Source organism: Homo sapiens, chromosome 8 (genome assembly GCF_000001405.40).
Source record: "Homo sapiens chromosome 8, GRCh38.p14 Primary Assembly".
Classification (NCBI taxonomy): Eukaryota; Metazoa; Chordata; class Mammalia; order Primates; family Hominidae; genus Homo; species Homo sapiens.
Genome location: NC_000008.11, coordinates 66,561,136 through 66,583,176, shown reverse-complemented (window position 1 = coordinate 66,583,176; position 22,041 = coordinate 66,561,136). Strand labels below are relative to the sequence as shown.

Here is a 22,041-nt window from a genome sequence, read left to right as displayed (position 1 = left end):
TTTCTAGTTTTATTTCATTGTGGTCCAAAAAGGTATTTGATATGTCTTTAATTCTGTTAAATTTGTTCAGACTTATTTTGTGGCCTAATACGTGGTCTGTCATGAAGAATGTGCTGATGAAAAGAATGTATATTCTGCAGATATTGGATGAAATATTCTGTAGATGTCTGTTAGGCTCATTCAGTATAAATGTGCAATTTAAAGCCAATGTTTGTTTCTTTGTTGATTTTTCTGTCTAGATGATCTTTCATTGCTGAGAATGGGGTGTTGAAGTCTCCAACTATTTTTTATTGGAATCTATTACTCCTTTTAGATCAAATAGTATTTGCTTGATGTAGCTGGGTGCTCTGATATTGGTGCATATATATTTACAATTATATTCTTTTGCTGAATTGATCCCTTTATCATTATATATTGACCTTTTTTGTCTTTTTTTATAGGGTTTTTTTTTTTTTTTTGAGGCAGGGTTTCACTCCGTCCCCCCAGGCTGAAATACAGTGCTGTGATCTTGGCTCTCTGTAACCTCGACCTTCCAGGCTAAGGTGATGCTTTCACCTCAGCCTCCCAAGTAGCGGGGACCACAGGCATGTGCTGCCATGTCCAGCTAATTTTTTTTTTTTTTTTTTTTTTTTTTTGTAGAGATGGAGTTTTGCCATGTTGCCGAGGCTGGTTTCAAACTCCTGAGCCCACCTTGGCCTCCCAAAGTGCTGTGGTTGCAGGCATGTGCTACCATGCCCAGCTTCTTTTTATAGTTTTTAGTTTAAATTATGCTTTATCTGATATGAGTATAGCTATTCCTGCTTGCTTTTAGTTTCTGTTTGCATAGAATATCTTTTTCCATCCTTTTACATTCAGTCCGTATGTGTCTTTACAGGTGACATGAGTTTTTGTAGGCAGCATATAGTTGGGTCATGTGTTTTTAATCCATTCAGCTAGTCTATGTCTTTTAAGTGTAGAGCTTAATCTGTTTACATTCAGGGTTATTACTGATATGTGAAGACTTACTCTTTTCATTTTGTTAATTATTTTCTGTTTTTGTGTATTCTTTGTTCCTTTCTTCCTCTCTTAATGTTTATTATTGCAGTTTGGTGGTTTTCTGTAGTACAGTGGTTTGATTATTTTATCTTTCTCCTTTGTGTACCTGCTCTACTAGTGAATTTTATACTTTTACATATTTTCATAATAGTGTCTGTTATCTTTTTGCTTTCAGGTATAGGACTTTTTTGAGCACTTCTTGTAAGGCTGATCTAGTGGTGATGAATTCCCACCATTTAAAAAGAAAAAGTCTGGGAAAGACTTTATTTCTCCCTCATTTCTGAAGGATAGCTTTGCTGGGTATTCTTGGCAGGCATTTTTCTTTTTTCAGTGCTTCTCAAATATATCATTTCATTCTCTTCTGGCCTGTAAGATTTTTTCAAATAAATCTGCTGTTATCTAATAAAGATTTCCATATATGGGATGTAATACTTTTACTTTGCAGTTTTTATTTTTAATTTTCTTTTGATAAGGGTCTCACTCTGTCAGCCAGGCTGGAGTGTGGTGGTGTGATCACAGTTTGCTGCAGCCTTGACTTCCTGGGTTCAAGTGATGCCCTCACCTCAGCCTCTCGAGTTCTGGGACTACAGGCGCATGGTACCATGCCCAGCTAATTTTTGTATTTTTTGTAGAGATGGGGTTTCGTTATGTTGGCCAAACTGTTCTCAAACTCCTGGGCTCAAGCAATCTGCCTGCCTTGACTTCCCAAAGTGCTGGGACTATGTGCGTGAGCCACCGTACCTGTTCTCTCTTGCTATTTTTAGAATTCTGTCTTTGAATTTTGACAATTTGTAAGTCACAAAGTTTATGGTAACATACAGGAGAGGTGCTTGATTTAGATTGTTGTCATCAGGGAAGGGTTCCTAGAAGTCCTAAGTGAACTCAGCCTTGAAGGACAATGATTATATATTAGCAAGATAAATGAATTAGGACATTATTATAAATGAAGCAGATAAAAGTGTATAATCAGATGAAGTACTTTCCAGTATTTGAACTGTGTCTTAAGAATAGCTTCCCTTTGGGAGGCTGAGGTGGGCGGATCACCTGAGGTCAGGAGTTTGAGACCAGCCTGGCCAACATGGTGAAACCCTGTCTCTACTAAAAATACAAAAAATTAACCGGGTGTGGTGATGGGTACCTGTAATCCCAGCTACCCGGGAGGCTGAGGCAGGAGAATTGCTTGAACCCAGGAGGTGGAAGTTGCAGTGAGCCGAGAGAGCACCGCTGTACCCCAGCCTGGGCAACTGAGTGAAAACTCCAATCTCAGAAAAAAAAAAAAAAAAGAAGAGCTTCCCTGGTCAGTAGGTTACAGAGCATTTTATTAATAGATAGAGGGAGCAGCAATATGTGCAAAGGCACTCCAGGTCAAAAGAGTATATAATTCACTGGGGAATTGCAAGTGCTATAGTTGGGTATTTCTGATAACTACCAGGAATAAATAGATACACATGATAAGGTTTAAATATATAGCTCTTGAGTAGAAGTGTTGAGAAATGAAGTTTGGAAGGAAGGGAGTAGCCAGATTCTAAGAGTTTGGACTTTATGTTGTATGTAAATGCTTGTTTTATCTCATCATGATTGTATAGATTAAAAATTTTAATTAGAAAAAAGAAACATAGTCAAAGCATGAAGTTTAATGAAAAAAGTATACCAATTTTGAGGAAAGACAAAATATTTGCTACTATGTTTTTAGCCTAATTGAAATGTGTTGAAATCTGAATTTATGCCTACATTGAGAATGACAAATAATATTCAAATTTCTTTTGTACCTTTAGCAGCCTGGAAGTTTTTCTAGCTGGTCTGGTAGTTTCCTCATGGATGATAACATGTCTAATACTCTAAATAGCCTTGACGAGCACACTAGTGAGTTTTACAGTATGGATGAAAATCAGCCTGTGTCTGCTCAGCAGAATTCACCCACAAAGTTCCTGGCCGTGGAGGCAAACGCTGTGTTATCCTCTTTGCAGACCATCCCAGAATTTGCAGAGACTCTAGAACTTATTGAATCTGTAAGTAAAAAATTGTAAGATTATCAAAAGTTCAATTTTAGTTATATGATTTCATGCTCAGAAACTCAGTTTTGGACATTGACCAGTTTTATGTTTTGTATGCCATGCTTAATTTTGTTCTGATATTTTGCAGTGGCTTCTAGGGGAAAAAAGTTTAAATTTTTCTCAAGTATGTGCCTTGTGAGGAATTTTTAAAAATTAAAAACTTAATTCATTTTTTATTATATAAGTTATACAAGTGCATTAGAGAAAGCTGGAAACTAGAGAAAACTATAAAAAAGAAAATTAAAGTCCTTCATAAACCCAGAGTTAATAATTTGATGTATTCCTTTCAGTCTGTGTTCTATACTCAGAAAACATTATATTTTTAAACCCAAAAATACACTTCTGTATTATATTTGTGGATTTTTTTTTGTTTTCCACCCTGTCATGAGCATGTTTCTGTTTCCTTTTTTAAACTTGATTTTTTTTTTTTTAAGATGGCATCTCACTCTGTCGCCCAGGCTGGAGTGTAGTGGTGCAATCTCAGTTCACTGCAACCTGTGCCTCCTGGGTTCAAGCGATTCTCCTGCCTCAGCCTTCTGAGTAGCTGGGATTACAGGTGCCTGCCACCACACCCAGCTAATTTTTATATTTTTAGTGGAGATGGGGTTTCATCATGTTGGCCAGGCTGGTCTTGAACTCCTGACCTCAAGTGATCCTCCCACCTCGGCCTCCCAAAGTGCTGGGATTACAGGCATGAGCCACCATGCCTGGCCTAAATTTGAATTTTAGGGGCTTTGTAGTATTCCATCAAATGAATATAAGAAAATATATTTACCCAACTATTATTATTGGACATTTAGGTAGTGTCTACTTTTTCATTTTTTTAAAAAAAATTTTTTTTTAATTTTTTTATTATTATTATACTTTAAGTTTTAGGGTACATGTGCACAATATGCAGGTTAGTTACATATGTATACGTGTGCCATGCTGGTGTGCTGCACCCATTAACTCGTCATTTAGCATTAGGTATATCTCCTAATGCTATCCCTCCCCACTCCCCCCATCCCACAACAGTCCCCAGAGTGTGATGTTCCCCTTCCTGTGTCCATATGTTCTCATTGTTCAATTCCCATTTATGAGTGAGAACATGCAGTGTTTGGTTTTCTGTCCTTGCGATAGTTTACTGAGAATGATGATTTCCAATTTCATCCATGTCCCTACAAAGGACATGAACTCATCCTTTTTTATGGCTGCATAGTATTCCATGGTATATATGTGCCACATTTTCTTAATCCAGTCTATCATTGTTGGACATTTGGGTTGGTTCCAAGTCTTTGCTATTGTGAATAGTGCCTCAATAAACATATGTGTGCATGTGTCTTTATAGCAGCATGATTTATAGTCCTTTGGGTATATACCCAGTAATGGGATGGCTGGGTCAAATGGTATTTCTATTCTAGATCCCTGAGGAATCGCCACACTGACTTCCGCAATAGTTGAACTAGTTTACAGTCCCACCAACAGTGTAAAAGTGTTCCTATTTCTCCACATCCTCTCCAGCACCTGTTGTTTCCTGACTTTTTAATGATTGCCATTCTAACTGGTGTGAGATGGTATCTCATTGTGGTTTTGATTTGCATTTCTCTGATGGCCAGTGATGATGAGCATTTTTTCAAGTGTCTTTTGGCTGCATAAATGTCTTCTTTTGAGAAGTGTCTGTTGATATCCTTTGCCCACTTTTTGATAGGGTTGTTTGTTTTTTTCTTGTAAATTTGTTTGAGTTCATTGTAGATTCTGGATATTAGCCCTTTGTCAGATGAGTAGGTTGCGAAAATTTTCTCCCATTTTGTAGGTTGCCTGTTCACTCTGATGGTAGTTTCTTTTGCTGTGCAGAAGCTCTTTAGTTTAATTAGATCCCATTTGTCAATTTTGTCTTTTGTTGCCATTGCTTTTGGTGTTTTAGACATGAAGTCCTTGTCCATGCCTATGTCCTGAATGGTAATGCCTAGGTTTTCTTCTCGGGTTTTTATGGTTTTAGGTCTAACGTTTAAGTCTTTAATCCATCTTGAATTAATTTTTGTATAAGGTGTAAGGAAGGGATCCAGTTTCAGCTTTCTGCATATGGCTAGCCAGTTTTCCCAGCACCATTTATTAAATAGGGAATCCTTTCCCCATTGCTTGTTTTTCTCATGTTTGTCAAAGATCAGATAGTTGTAGATAACGCGGCATTATTTCTGAGGGCTCTGTTCTGTTCCATTGATCTATATCTCTGTTTTGGTACCAGTACCATGCTGTTTTGGTTACTGTAGCCTTGTAGTATAGTTTGAAATCAGGTAGCATGATGCCTCCAGCTTTGTTCTTTTGGCTTAGGATTGACTTGGTGATGTGGGCTCTTTTTTGGTTCCATATGAACTTTAAAGTAGTTTTTTCCAATTCTGTGAAGAAAGTCATTGGTAGCTTGATGGGGATGGCACTGAATCTATAAATTACCTTGGGCAGTATGGCCATTTTCACGATATTGATTCTTCCTACCCATGAGCATGGAATGTTCTTCCATTTGTTTGTATCCTCTTTTATTTCATTGAGCAGTAGTTTGTAGTTCTCCTTGAAGAGGTCCTTCACGTCCCTTGTAAGCTGGATTCCTAAGTATTTTATTCTCTTTGAAGCAATTGTGAATGGGAGTTCACTCATGATTTGGCTCTCTGTTTGTCTGTTATTGGTGTATAAGAATGCTTGTGATTTTTGTACATTGATTTTGTATCCTGAGACTTTGCTGAAGTTGCTTATCAGCTTAAGGAGATTTTGGGCTGAGACAATGGGGTTTTCTAGATATACAATCATGTCATCTGCAAACAGGGACAATTTGACTTCCTCTTTTCCTAATTGAATACCCTTTATTTCCTTCTCCTGCCTGATTGCCCTGGCCAGAACTTCCAACACTATGTTGAATAGGAGTGGTGAGAGAGGGCATCCCTGTCTTGTGCCAGTTTTCAAAGGGAATGCTTCCAGTTTTCGCCCATTCAGTATGATATTGGCTGTGGGTTTGTCATAGATAGCTCTTATTATTTTGAGATACGTCCCATCAATACCTAATTTATTGAGAGTTTTTAGCATGAAGGGTTGTTGAATTTTGTCAAAGGCCTTTTCCGCATCTATTGAGATAATCATGTGGTTTTTGTCTTTGGTTTTGTTTATATGCTGGATTACATTTATTGATTTGCGTATATTGAACCAGCCTTGCATCCCAGGGATGAAGCCTGCTTGATCATGGTGGATAAGCTTAGTGTCTACTTTTTCAGTACTACAGATAACATATAAAGCTTTGTGCAAAATCATGATTATGTCTTTAGGTTAAATTGAATTTCTGGATCAAAGTATATCACCATTTTTAACACGTTCCATACACATTACCAAATGATTATGCAGAATTTGATGGTGTCTTCCTGATGTGCAGTAGAATGTGAAGTTTTATGACGAAATATACTTTTTGATAATAACTTAATTTTTGATAATAACTTATCATTTGTTCTTAAAGTACTTTGACAGTAAGCTTCAACTACTGAATTAGATGAACTATTATGTATTTTGGAATCATAGGAAAGCCATAATCTGTTCCTCTTAAATGGTCTTGCTTAAAAAAAATGTCCAAGGAAAGCATTTTTACTGATAAAATGAGTTGTTAATTAACTCTGTGGAAATCATCATCCTGTGTTCAAGAGCAGATTTAACTAGGTTACAGCATTAACTTTATTAACAGTTTAATTTATTGCAGGATCCTGTAGCATGGAGTGACGTTACCAGTTTTGATATTTCTGATGCTGCTGCTTCTCCTATCAAATCCACCCCAGTTAAATTAATGAGAATTCAGCACAATGAAGGAGCCATGGAATGCCAATTTAACGTCAGTCTTGTACTTGAAGGGAAAAAAAACACTTGTAATGGTGGCAACAGTGAAGCTGTTCCTTTAACATCCCCAAATATAGCCAAGTTTAGCACTCCACCAGCCATCCTCAGAAAGAAGAGAAAAATGCGAGTGGGTCATTCCCCAGGCAGCGAACTTAGGGATGGCTCATTGAACGATGGTGGTAATATGGCGCTAAAACATACACCACTGAAAACACTACCATTTTCTCCTTCACAGGTAGTGGTGTTCATTTTGTTTATGTTTCTAAATGTCAATGAGTTACATTAAATTAGATCTTTAACATCCTTACTAGCAGTTGGTAGCTTTGATAACATATAAAAATAATGTGTTTAAATGTATACTTGAGAATACTGAACTCTGAGAGAATAGAAAGTATCTCACAAAATGTAGTAGCTGCAAATATTTATTTATTTATTTATTTATTTATATTTTGGAGACAGGGACTCACTTTGTTGCCGAGGTTGGAGTGCAGTGGCACAAACACGGCTCACCGCAACCTCAACCACCGAGGCTCAAGTGATCTTCCCGCCTCAGCCCCCCAAGTAGCCTGGACTATAGATGCGTGCCACCACACCTAGCTAATTTTTGTATTTTTTGTAGAGATGGGGTTTTACCATGTTGCCCAAGCTGGTCTTGAACTCCTGAGCTCAAGTAATCCACCTGCCTTGGCTCCCAAAGTGTTGGGATTACAGGCGTGAGCCACTGCTCCCGGTTCTACATGATATTATACTACAGTTTTTAGAGGGACATTTTCTTTATCTTGTAGTCCCATATCTTTATAGAACTCATCAGAAAACAAGCCCGGAAAGGTAACATTGATTTGCCCAAAGTTATCTAATGCAAGGCTGAGACTAAGATCCGGTTTCCTGACTGACTACTGTTCGATAGATATACCTGATAAAGATTAAAGTGGCCTTACCTATTTAGAGTAATTTGTTTAGTTTGCCCACTGAGGTTTTTCCTTTTAATGTTCTTTGGAAGAAACTTAGATAATTGCTTACTGTAAGAATTTAATGTGTCAAGAGGTTTCCTAAGGATGTCTAGAACTACCTACTTACTTTCTCCTCTTGTAATATCCCTGGACAGTAGATGTTTATGTTAGGACAGTTTCCTATTGAACACTTGCTATGCTCCAGGCTGTTTGCCAAACGCTTTTTTTTTTTTCTTTGAGATGGAGTTTTGCTCTTGTTGCCCAGGCTGGGGTGCAATGGCACCATCTCGGCTCACCGCAACCTCCGCCTCCCGGGTTCAAGTGATTCTCCTGGCTCAGCCTCCCGAGTAGCTGGGATTACAGGCATGTGCCACCACGCCCGGCTAATTTTGTATTTTTAGTAAAGACAGAGTTTCTCCATGTTGGTCAGGCTGGTCTTGAACTCCCAACCTTAGGTGATCTGCCCGCCTCGGCCTCCCAAAGTGCTGGGATTACAGGCGTGAGCCACTGCTCCCAGCCTCCAAACAATCTTCTTATAGCATCTCAGTTAATGCTCTTTCAAAAGGAGTTAGGTGGAATAAAATTCTGAAGTTGAGCCACTTGTCAAAGGCAACAGTTAGTAAGAGATGAAGCTGATGTTTTCTGAAAGTGTTTGGCAGAGGCTACAAAGTTTAAGGAGGAAGAAGGGAGTTTAATGGTCAAACAAACATGGAGAATGCTGGGATATTATTGGAGGTATATTTTGAGGCTGGGGAGATAAGCAGGATCTGGCAGAACACAGATCTCTAAAAATTGTGCACCCATGCTTCAGGGGATGCCATTTCTGTAGACTACAATGTGAATAGTCTGTTCACTCCCAGCCCTGCTCTCAGAGTTAAAAAGCACTGGAGAAAGTGAAGTAGGCTTGGGCATACTAGCAGTTTTCTATTCTGGAGTTTTGCATGCTAGCAATTTTTGTTGAAGTGTGAATTCTAAGGTAGAAGTGGCTGAAAGATGCTTATTTCCCATGGCAAACTGCTTGGATTTTATCGTGTAAAAGAGGGTTTGATTACTAATCTTAGGGTAAAATAAATTCAAGTATTCAGAGCCAGAAGTGACAGAGCTAGACTTCATTCTAGTTATAAGTAGCTTTGAAGCCATTTCTATGGCTTCATATCACTGTTTCTAATCTTTTGACTGCAAAAATAAATTAGTATTTCACAATTGTAAATTATATAATTTAGAAAATGGACTCTGTTATGCCAGTTTTGACTGCTTAGAGGTTCTGTTCTGTGTTCTAGATAGGCAAATTTGCCAGACAGCTGTATTTCTTATCAGCAAAGCATTATTATTATATTCTAAATTAAAATACTCTCATAGAAAAAGCCACTTAAGGTCATTTATTAATAAGAGCTAAAAAACTTGTTTTTTCAGTTACACACTGTTGTACAAAACTGTTACATTTAACACAGCAGCTGTTTATGGTTTCTATAGATCTCTATTTGATAATATACTGTTTTTTAAATTTTTAGTATTTTTTTTGTAACTTTTGAATATTTGTTAAATGTTTCTTGAATTCCTATATGTGCTAAACACTGTTCTAAGAGCTGGGGAGACAAAAATGAACAAACCAGACAAAAATTCCTACCCTCATGGAGCATAATTTCCATGGAGTATAAGTGTAATATTATTCATAAGCTTTTTTTAAGAGGTATGAAGAAATAATTTGAAAATCTTATCAGTTTAATATTTGTGTAGGGATTTTGATGTTCTAGAAGTCGTCTTTAAACTCTCTTCCCTTTCTAGTTTTTCAACACATGTCCTGGTAATGAACAACTTAATATAGAAAATCCTTCATTTACATCAACCCCTATTTGTGGGCAGAAAGCTCTCATTACAACTCCTCTTCATAAGGAAACAACTCCCAAAGATCAAAAGGAAAATGTAGGGTAAGTAGGTATTAAATAATTGTGTTAGAGAAAATGGGGAGCACAGTGTTAAAGTAGATTAGCTTTTTGTGCATATAAATAGCAAGTATCATAATTCCTATTCCTACAGGACTTAGAATTTTTTTTGTTTTGTTTTGTTTTGTTTGTTTGAGATGGAATTTTGCTCTCGTTGCCCAGGCTGGAATGCAATGGTGAGATCTCGGCTCACTGCAACCTCTGCCTCCCGGGTTCAAGTGATTCTCCTGCCTCAGCCACCCGAGTAGCTGGGATTACAGGCATGTGCCACCATGCCTGGTTAATATTGTGTATGTAGTAGAGATGGGGTTTCACTATGTTGGCCAGGCTGGTCTTGGACTTCTGACCTCAGGTGATCTGCCCATCTCAGCCTCCCAAAGTGCTGGGATTATAGGTGTGAGCCACTGTGGCCGGCCAGAATTTTTTTTTTAAATCATAACCTTATGTTTTCTCCTTAGGACAGTGAAAACCAACTGAAATATAGTGTCAAACTTTGATTTCAATCATTTCTAGTACTTTTTCAAACATTTCTAGTACTTTTTTCTATATTAATTCTTTTTTTCTATTTTAAGATGATTGATTGAAATCAGAATTACCATAGGTGGGCATACTTTAAAATAGTCTTAGAATGTTTAAATGAAGCATATATATATGTGTAAGAAAATTTAGCGTGTGCTTAAATTGCTTTGCTTTCATTAACTTGTATGAAATCAGATCGTGACTATAACATAAATATCTAAATGACTGGATAGGTTTAGAACACCTACTATTAGAAGATCTATACTGGGTACCACACCAAGAACTCCTACTCCTTTTAAGAATGCGCTTGCTGCTCAGGAGAAAAAATATGGACCTCTTAAAATTGTGGTATGTATATTCATTTTATTTTTAATAATTTTCCTAATTTTAATAAAACACAAATTATGATTTTTATCACTTTGATTTTTAACATTTAAAAAAAGATATTTACTGAAACAGATACAAAGCTTTATCTTTTGATTTTCAAGGTTTTTTTTTTGTTTTTTTTTTGAGACGGAGTCTTACTTTGTCGCCCAGGCTAGAGTGAAGTGGCGCGATCTCAGCTCACTGTAACCTCCACCCCCTGGGTTCAAGTGATCCTCATGCCTCAGCCTCCTTAGTAGCTGGTATTACAGGTGCCCGCCACCACACCCAGCTAATTTTTGTATTTTTAGTAGAGATGGGGTTTCACCACATTGGCCAGCCTGGTCTTGAACTCCTGACCTCAGGTGATCCACCCCCCTCCCCCCCACCTCGGCCTCCCAAAGTGCTAGGATTACAAGCGTGAGCCACCACACCTGGCCTAATTTTCAAGTTTGAATTTGTGTTCACCTTTTTCTTTAACTTGTAAATAAACCCTTGCTTGGCTTGTTTTGAATTCTTAACTTTATAGCATCTAGAGAAAACATCAGGTGTCAGTGGAACTCTTTTCCTTTTTCCTTTTTTTTTTTTTTGAGACGCAGTCTTGCTCTGTCACCAGGATGGAGTGCAGTGGCTCATTCTTGGCTCACTGCAACCTCCGCCTCCTGGGTTCAGGTGATTCTCCCCCAGCCTCCTGAGTAGCTTGGACTACAGGCTTGCGCCACCACGCCCAGCTAATTTTTGTATTTTTAGTAGAAATGGGGTTTCACCATGTTGGCCAGGATGGTCTCGATCTCCTGACCTCGTGATCCACCCACCTTCGGCCTCCCAAAGTGCTGGGATTACAGGAGTGAGCCACTGCGCCCTGTCGGAACACTTTTCTTAATACTGAAATATACATTTTAGTAGTTTCAGTCATGGTTACATGTATTAGAATAAAATAATTTTAATATTTTGATATACTGAAGCACTTTCATGATAATATTTAGGAAACTAATCAGGGTACCTCTTTAGGAAACTAATTAGGAAAAGGCTCAGTTTCCTTTTCTATGCAAAGGAGATCATAAAACACACCCCAAATTGTTATTGTGAAGCTGAAAGAGATGATGTAATTAAAGGGGCTTGTCTGAGTTTCAAGTACTGTGTGCTTGGTTGCTGCTATTATTCTAATAATAGTATTTGTGGTAGTAGTTCACGAATGAATAGGACTGGGAAGTGTTCTAGTTACTGTGCTTTCATATATCTTACCACCTTTGAAATACCTTGGAACAGTGATGGGCATTTTAGGCAGATACAGATTTCTGACAAGTTCTTTAGAAATACGATTTTTAAAATATTGGTAACTTCCAGGGTTTTTTAGTTATGTTCTTCTATTTTTAGTCACTTTTTGGTTAGATTCATTAACAAATTCTAGTTTACTTGATTTAATTAATTTTCTGCCCAAAAGCATGTTACACACGCACATCTTCTAGTCTTTTTTTCAAAATACTGTGTTAAAGGGTACGTAGTAGGGTTGATCAAGTCTTTTTGTCATTTAGCTCCATGTACTGCTGTGAACAATCATATTTCCTTTAGAGCTTCCTAGAGTTTTTATTTATGCGTATACATTAATAAAACAAGAGTATGACCACACTTTATTATTTTATAACACTTTTTTAATTTAACCAAGTAAATGTATATATTTATCCCATAATTTTTAACGTTTGCATAATATTCCATTGTATGGAATTACCTGATTGATTTAGGCTGTTTCAGTGTTTTGCTGTTTATTTTAAAAATTCATCATTAATTCAGCAAATATTGATTGAGTGCCTAATAGGTTCCAGGCACTGTACTAGGCTTTAGGGATGGAAAGAATGTTGAAAAGGTCAAGTATGGTTCCTGCCTTCATAGGGTCATGTAGACTAATTGGGGATTAGACAAGTAAACAATGATTTGAAAGCATTTAAAAATTCTGCAGTGAGTCAGGGTCATTTGGTGAACATATAAGTGGAATAAAAATTATAATTTGATAGCTGGGTGTGGTAGTATGCTCTTGTAGTAGTCCTAGGAGGTTTGTTTGAGCCTGGGAAGTGGAGGCTACAGTGAGTGGTGATGAAGCCACTGCACTCCAGCCTAAAGGACAGAGTGCAGCTCTGTTTGAAAAAAAAAAAAAAAGACAAAAACAAAAGTATATTTGTAATAGGTTTCAAATACCTAAAGTCCTTGTCCATTTGTTTACTAGCCTTCTGACATTTTAAATTTAATACCAGCAGCACTCACAGCTCTTTGGATAGAATTTGACCATTGCCAAAATAGATTATTTGCATCAGCAATTTAAGATAAAAGGAAGGCAATGATTTATAAATTAAAATTCCTAGAATATCTATAGGCTCATACATCTCTTTGCAGTAAGCTGACTTTTCATTTCTCCTGCTCCTCCTCCAGTTATTTACTGAGCATCTACTATATGCTAACCACTTAGCTTTCTTTTGTATCTTACTATGAGTCAAATGCACTTCTTGGAGATTGGCTTTGGAATTTTAATCAGGTATATCTTAAATATCTGTTGCCCTTTTAATAAACCGATTCTTTTAATATTTACTATAAATTACTCAAAAGGCTAAAAACTGTAGAAATATTAAGTTTGGTAGTATCAAACCTGAAAAGTATTAAATGCAGGAGTTCTTTGCTTTTGACACATTAGAACAATTAAGAGAATAATTCTTGCTAGTGAATGAATTAATCTGTCTTAGCCCTATTCTAGGACATTTGTATTCTTAAAGGGAGAAAAACCTCCAGATCTTTTTAAGAATACTAGACTAGATCAAGAAAATGTGGGCTGGATGCAGTGGCTCATACCTGTAATTCCAGCACTTTGGGAGATCAAGACAGGCAGATCATTTGAGCTCAGGAATTCAAGACCAGCCTGGGCAACATGGTGAAACCCCATCTCTACTGAAAATACAAAAAATGAACTGGGCATGGTGGTGTGCACCTGTGGCTCTAGCTACTTGGGAGACTGAAGTGGGAGGATCGCTTGACCCTGGGAGGTAGAGGTTGCAGTGAGCTGATATTATACCACTGCACTCTAGCCTGGGTGACAGAGTGAGACCCCACCTCAAAAAAAATTAAGGAAAAAAAAAAAAAAGAAAATGCGGTACGTATGCACCATAGAATACTATGCAGCCATAAAAAAGAATGAGGTCATGTCCTTTGCAAGGACATGGATAGAGCTGGAAGCCATTATCCTCAGCAAACCAACACAGAAACAGAAAACCAAATACTGCATGTTCTCATTTATAAATGGGAGCTAAATGATGGGAACATGTGGACGTATAGAGAGGAACAGCACACACTGGGGCCTTTCAGAGAGTGGAAGGTGGGAAGAGAGAGGATCAGGAAAAATAACTAATGGGTACTAGGCTTAATACTTGGGTGATGAAATAATCTTTTTTCTTTTTTTGAGATGGAGTTTCACCCTTGTTGCCCAGGCTAGAGTGTAGTGGCGCGATCTCGGCTCACTGCAACCTCTGCCTTCTAGTTTCAAGCGATTCTCCTGCCTCAGCTTCCCAAGTAGCTGGGATTACAGGTGCCCACCACCACCCTGGCTAATTTTTGTATTTTTAGTAGAGACGGGGTTTCACCATGTTAGCCAGGATGGTCTTGAACTCCTGACCTCGTGATCTGCCCGCCTCGGTCTCCCAAAGTGCTGGGATTACAGGCATGAGCCACTGCGCCCGGCTGGGTGATGAAATAACCTATACAACAACCCCCCATGTTTACTTATGTAACAAACATGCACTTGGACCCCTGAACTTAAAAGTTAATTTGAAAAAAGAATACTTTATGTTCTTGGTGAAATACCATCATTAAAAAGCTCTTTGAGACCGGGGGTGGTGGCTCACACCTGTGATCCCAGCACTTTGGGAGGCTGAGGTGGGCAAATCACCTCCTGAGGTCAGGAGTTTGAGACCAGCTTGGCCAACATGGTGAAACCCCGTCTCTAGTAAAAATACAAAAAATTAGCCAGGCGTTGTGGCAGGTTGTGCTAGCTACTCGGTTGATCCCAGCTACTCGGGAGGCTGAGGCAGGAGAATCGGTTGAACCAGAGGGTGGGGGTTGTGGAGGTTGCAGTGAACTGAGATTATGCTACTACACTCCAGCCTGGGTGACAGAGCAAGATTCCATCTCAATAAATAAATAAGTAAATAATAATAATAAGCTCTTTGAGAAGTATACGGAAACACTAACATAATTCCTGTATGTCTCAGTCTAGATGAGAATACTTTTAACATTTGTTTTCATCTTAAAAGTTTTTGTAAGTGCTGTGAAATCTCATTTATATATGAATACCATTCTCTCTAACTTTGCTGGCTGGGGACATAAGCTGCTGGTGTTTTTTTGTTTTTTGTTTTGTTGTTGTTGTTTTTTTTTTTTTTTTGAGACGGAGTCTGGCTCTGTTGCCCAGGCTGGAGTCCAGTGGCGTGATTTCGGCTCACTGCAACTTCTGCCTCCTGGGTTCAAGCAATTCTCATGCCTCAGCCTCCCGGGGTGCACACCACCACCCCCGGCTAATTTTTGTGTTTTTAGTAGAGATGGGGTTTCACCATGTTGGCCAGGATGATCATGATCTCTTGACTTCATGATCCACCCGCCTCAGCCTCCCAAAGTGGGATTACAGGCATGAGCCACCATGCCCAGCAGCTGCTGGTTATTAAGTGCTGCCAGTTCTTTTATTTAGTAGAGGTTTTATTACCTTTTCAAGTATATCTTGGTTATGAAAGGTATAAGTTAGATATAATTTTTAAATTTTTTCTGGGTTATAAGTTGTGCTTACCTATTTGACAGAAAGCTAGATGAATAATATTTTGAGACTATTTCATCACTCAGCTGACACTCAAGTGTCTATCTCTCTGTAACCTACCCTCCCACACTACACACACACACACACACACACACACTCACTCTCTCTGTCTTCTTGGATACTGTGTCAGCTCTTTGCTTAGGCTAGGTATACAAAGATGAAAATGACCTGACCATTGCTCTCAAGTATCTCACAATCTTGGTGGTAACAAACGTGTTAACTAGTAATTACATACTATGTAATAAGTACAATAAAAGTAGAATAAGAGCTAGTGTATTCCCAATATGTTCTATATTTCCTGTTTTTATGTAAAAAAAACTTGAGAAATAACATCTTTCTTTTCTGTTTAATTCTGAAGATCCTGACCTGAAGCAGGAGCTACAGTGGTTTCCCCAAAAGGAAGATTTTTGTTTAGTAGCCTAGAAAGAAGAAATTGCTATTCTTTACTCAGTACTTGCAAATGTATAATATTGTTTTGCCACAACATGAATTAATTTAATTAATGTATCTATAGGGGCTAGGAGAAAATTATGACAATAATGGACAAGTATAAAAGATGGGTTTCCTATATATAGGGAGAAAAAGGAATTGCTATAAATGACTTTTTACAACATTTTAAAAAACAATTTAGTCCCAGCCACTTGCTTTCTTGGAAGAAGATATTCGGGAAGTTTTAAAAGAAGAAACTGGAACAGACCTATTCCTCAAAGAGGAAGATGAACCTGCTTACAAAAGCTGCAAACAAGAGGTAATCTTCTAGTATTATTGTTAATAAAAGTCTTATTGTATCCAAGAGACTTTGCCATAAAGCTTCTACATAAATTACTCATTCTAGAATACCGCTTCTGGGAAGAAAGTCAGAAAATCACTAGTCTTAGATAATTGGGAAAAAGAAGAATCAGGCACTCAACTGTTGACTGAAGACATTTCAGACATGCAGGTTTGTAAAGGATTATTATTGTTGTTATTTTAAATGGTTGCTTTAAGTCCTAGAGGTTCTTATTTCTTACTCATTGTGTAGCCAGTTCATTAGAAATTCATGGAGAATTTTTATCTTAGTATCATTTTGCCTAATTCACAGAGAAACTATTCACTGTAGAGAATATTTTATTTACTTTTTTTTATATTTCTTTTGTTATGAGAGGAGTTAGCTGCCTTATATCTGATGTCAAAAAATCGTAGTTCTCAAGATTTTAAATATCAAAGTTTATCTTTGGTTCATTTCCAAAATAATATTACTACATTACTAGAAATTTCATCAGAGCCAAATGCTTTCTTGGAGGGAAATAAACAGGGCTTCCATTACCACTTACTCAGTAGTCCCTCCATTTGTCTCCATTTTTGAATTAGTTATTTTCCTCTTTCTTTTTTCTCTCTTAGTCAGAAAATAGATTTACTACATCCTTATTAATGATACCATTATTGGAAATACATGACAATAGGTGCAACTTGATTCCTGAAAAACAAGATATAAATTCAACCAACAAAACATATACACTTACTAAAAAGAAACCAAACCCTAACACTTCCAAAGTTGTCAAATTGGAAAAGAATCTTCAGGTATGGATTTATAAATTTCTTTAGTGATTTTTGTTTTTGTTTAGTCAATGATCACTTTGGATTTACTGATCACAAATTATACTTTTTCTTTTAAATTCAAAATTGATTGTAACAGTAACTAAACATTTACCATTATTTTATCACTCACATTTGGGTTTGAGCGACTCATTCATCAGGGCACATATAAACTAAACAATTGAAGCTGTAACCAAAGACTGGTCTGGTGATTTCCTAAGCACTGTATCTTTTTTAAACTAAAGATATATAAATCTACTTCTGGCACCTCTTCTCCTGTAACAAATATGTATAGCCCTAATTGCTATTCTGAAAAAGGGTAAGTGGTTGGAAGCAGTTTCAGCATGATTTTGTTGGTACCATGGTTTCCAGTGAACTTTTTGGCTCAGAAGTTGTAAAACAAAGTCCTTTTTTTTTTCTGTTGGGATACGACCAGTGTGTAACTGCAAATGAAGGTTGGAAAAATTTTTACTGCATTAAGAGTTTACCCCAGAGAATTTGAGAGTTCATTGAGTAGGAAATTTTCTTCTTTATGCCACAGTGACTGCAGCACTAGTATTCCTGATATTGAAGCATACCTTGAAAACGTCTTTGGCAATTACATATGACCACCTTACATCTGTTTTCAGCCACTGCTTTCTAAGAGCCATGTAGCACATTCTCTTAATCCATGTAAAATGATTTGAGTTCCTGGCGTTTAATTAACATAGAACTTTTGGGGAAAGTTATTATATAGAAGATCACATCTATAACATAGTAATCTTTAAAATAAGGGAAGGAAAAAAACATAAGCTTGATTTTTTGTTATGAATATATTTCCTAATTTGTAAATAAAGCATTCTTGGCTCATTTTTTGACATTACATCCTCTCTTTAAATCTTTTGCAAAATTTTGAAGCAATAAAGACTAACATTTATTTCCATGTTAAGACTCATTTGATTTGGGGGGAATTATTGGGGACAAGACTTTTAAACTGCCTCCATAGGCCTGTAAGCAATATAGATAGCTAAAATAATTGACTTTTTAAAAACTTGATAAAAAATATTTCAGTATATATTTTAAAACATTATTATTAAAAAAATACAGTGCCATTGTTAAAACATTTTTATAATTATTGTTTATAAAATATCTAATCAGTTAAAATAACTGACTTTAAGAGTCTAATTGTGATATAGATAGCTATTTTAATAATTTTCATGTCACTATTAATATTTCCTTTCTAGTCAAATTGTGAATGGGAAACAGTGGTTTATGGGAAGACAGAAGACCAACTTATTATGACTGAACAAGCAAGAAGATATCTGAGTACTTACACAGCTACCAGTAGTACTTCAAGAGCTCTCATACTGTAATTGTTATTAAAATTGATGAAATGCCCCACTCCCTTACTGCAGTCTCTACTAAATTAGGTTGCAGTGAAATTTTTCTCAATTAGTTGTTTTTAAAGTTGTAAGATAGCCCTTTTAATACAGCATCTTTTTTCTATTCTATATAGTAGGCAGAAAGCTAGTAAGTCACTTAAGGGGTAGATAGTTTCATAGTTTATTTTTTAAGAGATGAGATTTTTAAAAATTGTTTTTAAAGAACAAGATGGGAAAATAATAGAATGTTCATGGATTTCTAAAAGTAAATTCTCATATATTTTCTTCACAAGATATATGTTGCTACTCTCTTGATGCTGCAGTTTTGTTATAGATAGGTGTATGAGTATATATGATTTCTGAAATTAGTCTATGTATGGAAAGCACACATGATTTTATGAAGTACTTTTGCCCATGTGCTGATTTACTTAGGCTACCATTTACAAAGAAACACATTGAAAAGGAATTTAAAGGAAGGATAGAAAGTTGCACTACTAATTTTTTGTTTTTTTTTTCAGAAGCAGTAAAATTAACTACAGTGTTAAATGTATTTATTTGAGCATAGTACTGAAAACAAAAAGCATTCAAAAAAGAGTTTTTTCTTTATTAGTAAATAGTATTTTCTTAATCTCAGAGGAGCTGAGAGTTTTGTTGAATGTATTGTACAGTATGTAGGAGCAGGAGAACTTTGTAAATTGGAAAGAAGTCTGTTTTTATAATTTATTTTTATTTTTAAAGCTTAAATGTAGATATTTATACGTATACAGGGTGCCTAGAAGCCAATGTTGTTTCCTGTTATTACAGCTAACACAGTAAAGAATAATTTTGACTTTAAGTATGAAACAGTAGTAAGTTATAGCTGCAAAGAATACAATATCTATACTGTATGTCACATCTACCTAAATGTTGCACTATGCCCTTTAAATCATGCTGGTTATAAAGTAGTTCTAAAAATGTACTAAATAATAATTTAATATTTTCTTTTTAAATTATATCGGGGGTGGTCATATACATTAATCTGGTGATTTGTATATGTGTTTGAAATTTTTGCATTTTGTTTAAAAAATAATATGGTACCTTGGTCCCTAAAAACAGTCTGCACTTAGAAGTTTATATTTACTCAGTGTTTCAGAAGTGGAGAACATTATCTTTTATTTATAAAAATATTTTGTCCTTTTTTAAATGTTTTGTGTTTCTCTACAGGTTACAACAGTTGCTTCAGTTGCCTGTTTTAGGTGTTTGCACTTATTTTATTTCTTCTTGAAAGAATTTTTATTTGCTTTTGTGGTAGAGATTATATGTAATTTTTTTTCAGTCATATAATGGTGTGCTGTCAACTTAAACACTGACAGGTAAATAGAATTGTACACTGTAGTTTGAATTATTTATAATTGACACACTCTCTCCCTCTCCACTCCTGAAGTATGCTGCTATAGAAAATAGCAGAATCGGCTTGCTGCTACGAGAGAAGGAAAGAGCGACCACCACTTGCACTGTGTGAAAAGATAAAAAACAAATGATGGCAAGTTCTCAAGTTAACTAAATGGAATCAACCATTACCAGGCAAATTCTTGCAAATACCAAAATACTACTATGCCTTATAAAACAAAATGAAAGCAGGTTAAGATTTTCTGCTCTGTTTGTATGTTAATAGAAATGGAAATACTAAGTATTTTAATGCTTAGCTCTTGAACAGTAGACCTAAAAGGGTTTTAAGCTATTTAAATCTACTTGCTAGTTTTTGCATATTTTATATATATATATATTTATATATATATATAGTGAGAAGTGAAGAAAATGTATGGTACTAAGATTATGCCTTATTGATAAATAGATAAACCAATTTGAATCCTCTTAGCATGTTTAAGTATGTTGATTGCTTTCTAATTAATGAACTTCTCACAGAAATTTCACTTAGTGAAACCAATGATTGTAGCAAACTCATACTGGATCATTTCAGTTACCTTGAACTAATAGCACATAATGGTTTTTTGTTGTTGTTGTTTTTAATGTAGCCCTTACCTGGATATACATAGTCTGCAATCACCAAAGTATAATATCTTGTAAGGCTATATTTTTTAAAGCATATTTTTTCTTGAGCATTAAATTATCCTAAATGGTAATATATTGTGGATAAGTCTGGGCTTATTGGACATAATACATATTTGGGTTGGTACTGGTTGAATCCTTCAGTTAACTGCTTTGTTGCTTTTTGCAAGATTTTTTATCTTAAACATGTCAGGCATCTTAAGTCACCTTTATACTGTTTTGTTCCTCTGAGTTTCTTTCAGTATGTTATACAAATGCCAGACATAACATGTAGCAGCCATACTTGCATGGAAACTGACTACACATACATAATACTGCATTTTATTGTAAGGTTTTCACATTAATACAGCAATTACCCTGACTAAATTGAGTTTTGTGATATATGGAAAACTTCATTGTAAGAGAATCTTGCATACAATGTTGACATATTAACATCCAAAATAAAGCATCTGTGTACAAGCTGACTTGGCATTGCTCATTCACTTGGTTTTGTGCTTTATAAGGACTGATAGAATCCTTAGAGACTTAACATTCTGTTCTTAGGCCTTTTTTCTCATTTAGAACTCTCTTTACGGTGATTTTACCAATAAATACAACATTGCGCCTTTATAGAGCCTCATTTAAAACCAGATTTCCAGCTGTCTTTCAGATACTTTCACATGACACTTCCTGTTGGCGCCTTAAACATATGTTCAAAGCAGATTTCCTCTTTTTCCCAACTTTGACCTGCCCTTTGTTCTGTCACTTAGTGGTATTGCCTTCCCTTCATTTACCCACTGAGTAATCACCCACCTCCACATTGAAGTCAGCTGTGAATTCTCAGCCTGCATATGGCCTCTGTCTCCATTCTATAGAAATGTCAAGAAATTGAGCAGTGGCATAAGGGTGTCATCTGGGAAAGGCACACTGGTCATCCAGGCAGGGCTGTTTGGTATTCTATTACCTCGGTAAATTCATCACCATCTAGATTCTATCTTTAGCCTTGTAGGCTCCGAAGTCTGAGGAAATTAACTCATTAAAAGTGAGTTTACCTCTCAGTAGAAGGCTTACCTCAAGTTTATGACTGATATATGAAATTATAATGCCAGTCTCTTAATTTATAGCGTGAAATAAAACTGAGAGGACTAGGCACATTTTCTCCTTATATGTAAACAGCAACAAATATAAAAAACGACGTTCCATAGTTCTCTGTTGCCTAAATAATAATAATTCTCCTTCTCCTTCACTCCCTAACCTGGACATGACCAACTTTTCCACACTTCATTTTTCAGTCATACTGGCGACTTAGATCTCCCAGGAACATATGTGCACACTCCTATCTCCAGGCCCGTGTTTGTAATACCCTCTTTGCATGACTTTTTTTTTTTGTTTTTTGAGATGGAGTCCCACTCTGTTGCCCAGGCTGGAGTGCAGTGGCACCGTCTTGGCTCACTGAAACCTCCACCTCCCAGGTTCAAACAATTCTCCTACCTCAGCCTCCGGAGTAGCTGGGATTACAGGTGT

At 36.5% G+C, this 22,041-nt stretch overlaps 1 protein-coding gene across 10 annotated transcripts in view; it reads left to right on the top strand.

Moving 5' to 3' along the window:
• The window catches only part of MYBL1 (MYB proto-oncogene like 1), a 51,044-nt gene extending 30,042 nt beyond the window's left edge, over positions 1–21,002 (top strand). For 2 of the 10 annotated variants that reach the window (NM_001080416.4, XM_017013456.2), the window contains exons 9-16: positions 2,811–3,044; positions 6,802–7,170; positions 9,671–9,813; positions 10,581–10,695; positions 16,185–16,301; positions 16,389–16,493; positions 16,934–17,113; positions 18,352–21,002. In NM_001080416.4, coding sequence (NP_001073885.1) covers positions 2,811–3,044; positions 6,802–7,170; positions 9,671–9,813; positions 10,581–10,695; positions 16,185–16,301; positions 16,389–16,493; positions 16,934–17,113; positions 18,352–18,480 — 1,392 coding nt within the window. In that variant the 3' untranslated portion in view covers positions 18,481–21,002. The other 8 variants (XM_011517533.4, XM_017013455.2, NM_001144755.3 and 5 more) reach the window with 5 other exon arrangements.
• The last annotated feature ends 1,039 nt before the right edge of the window (positions 21,003–22,041 follow it).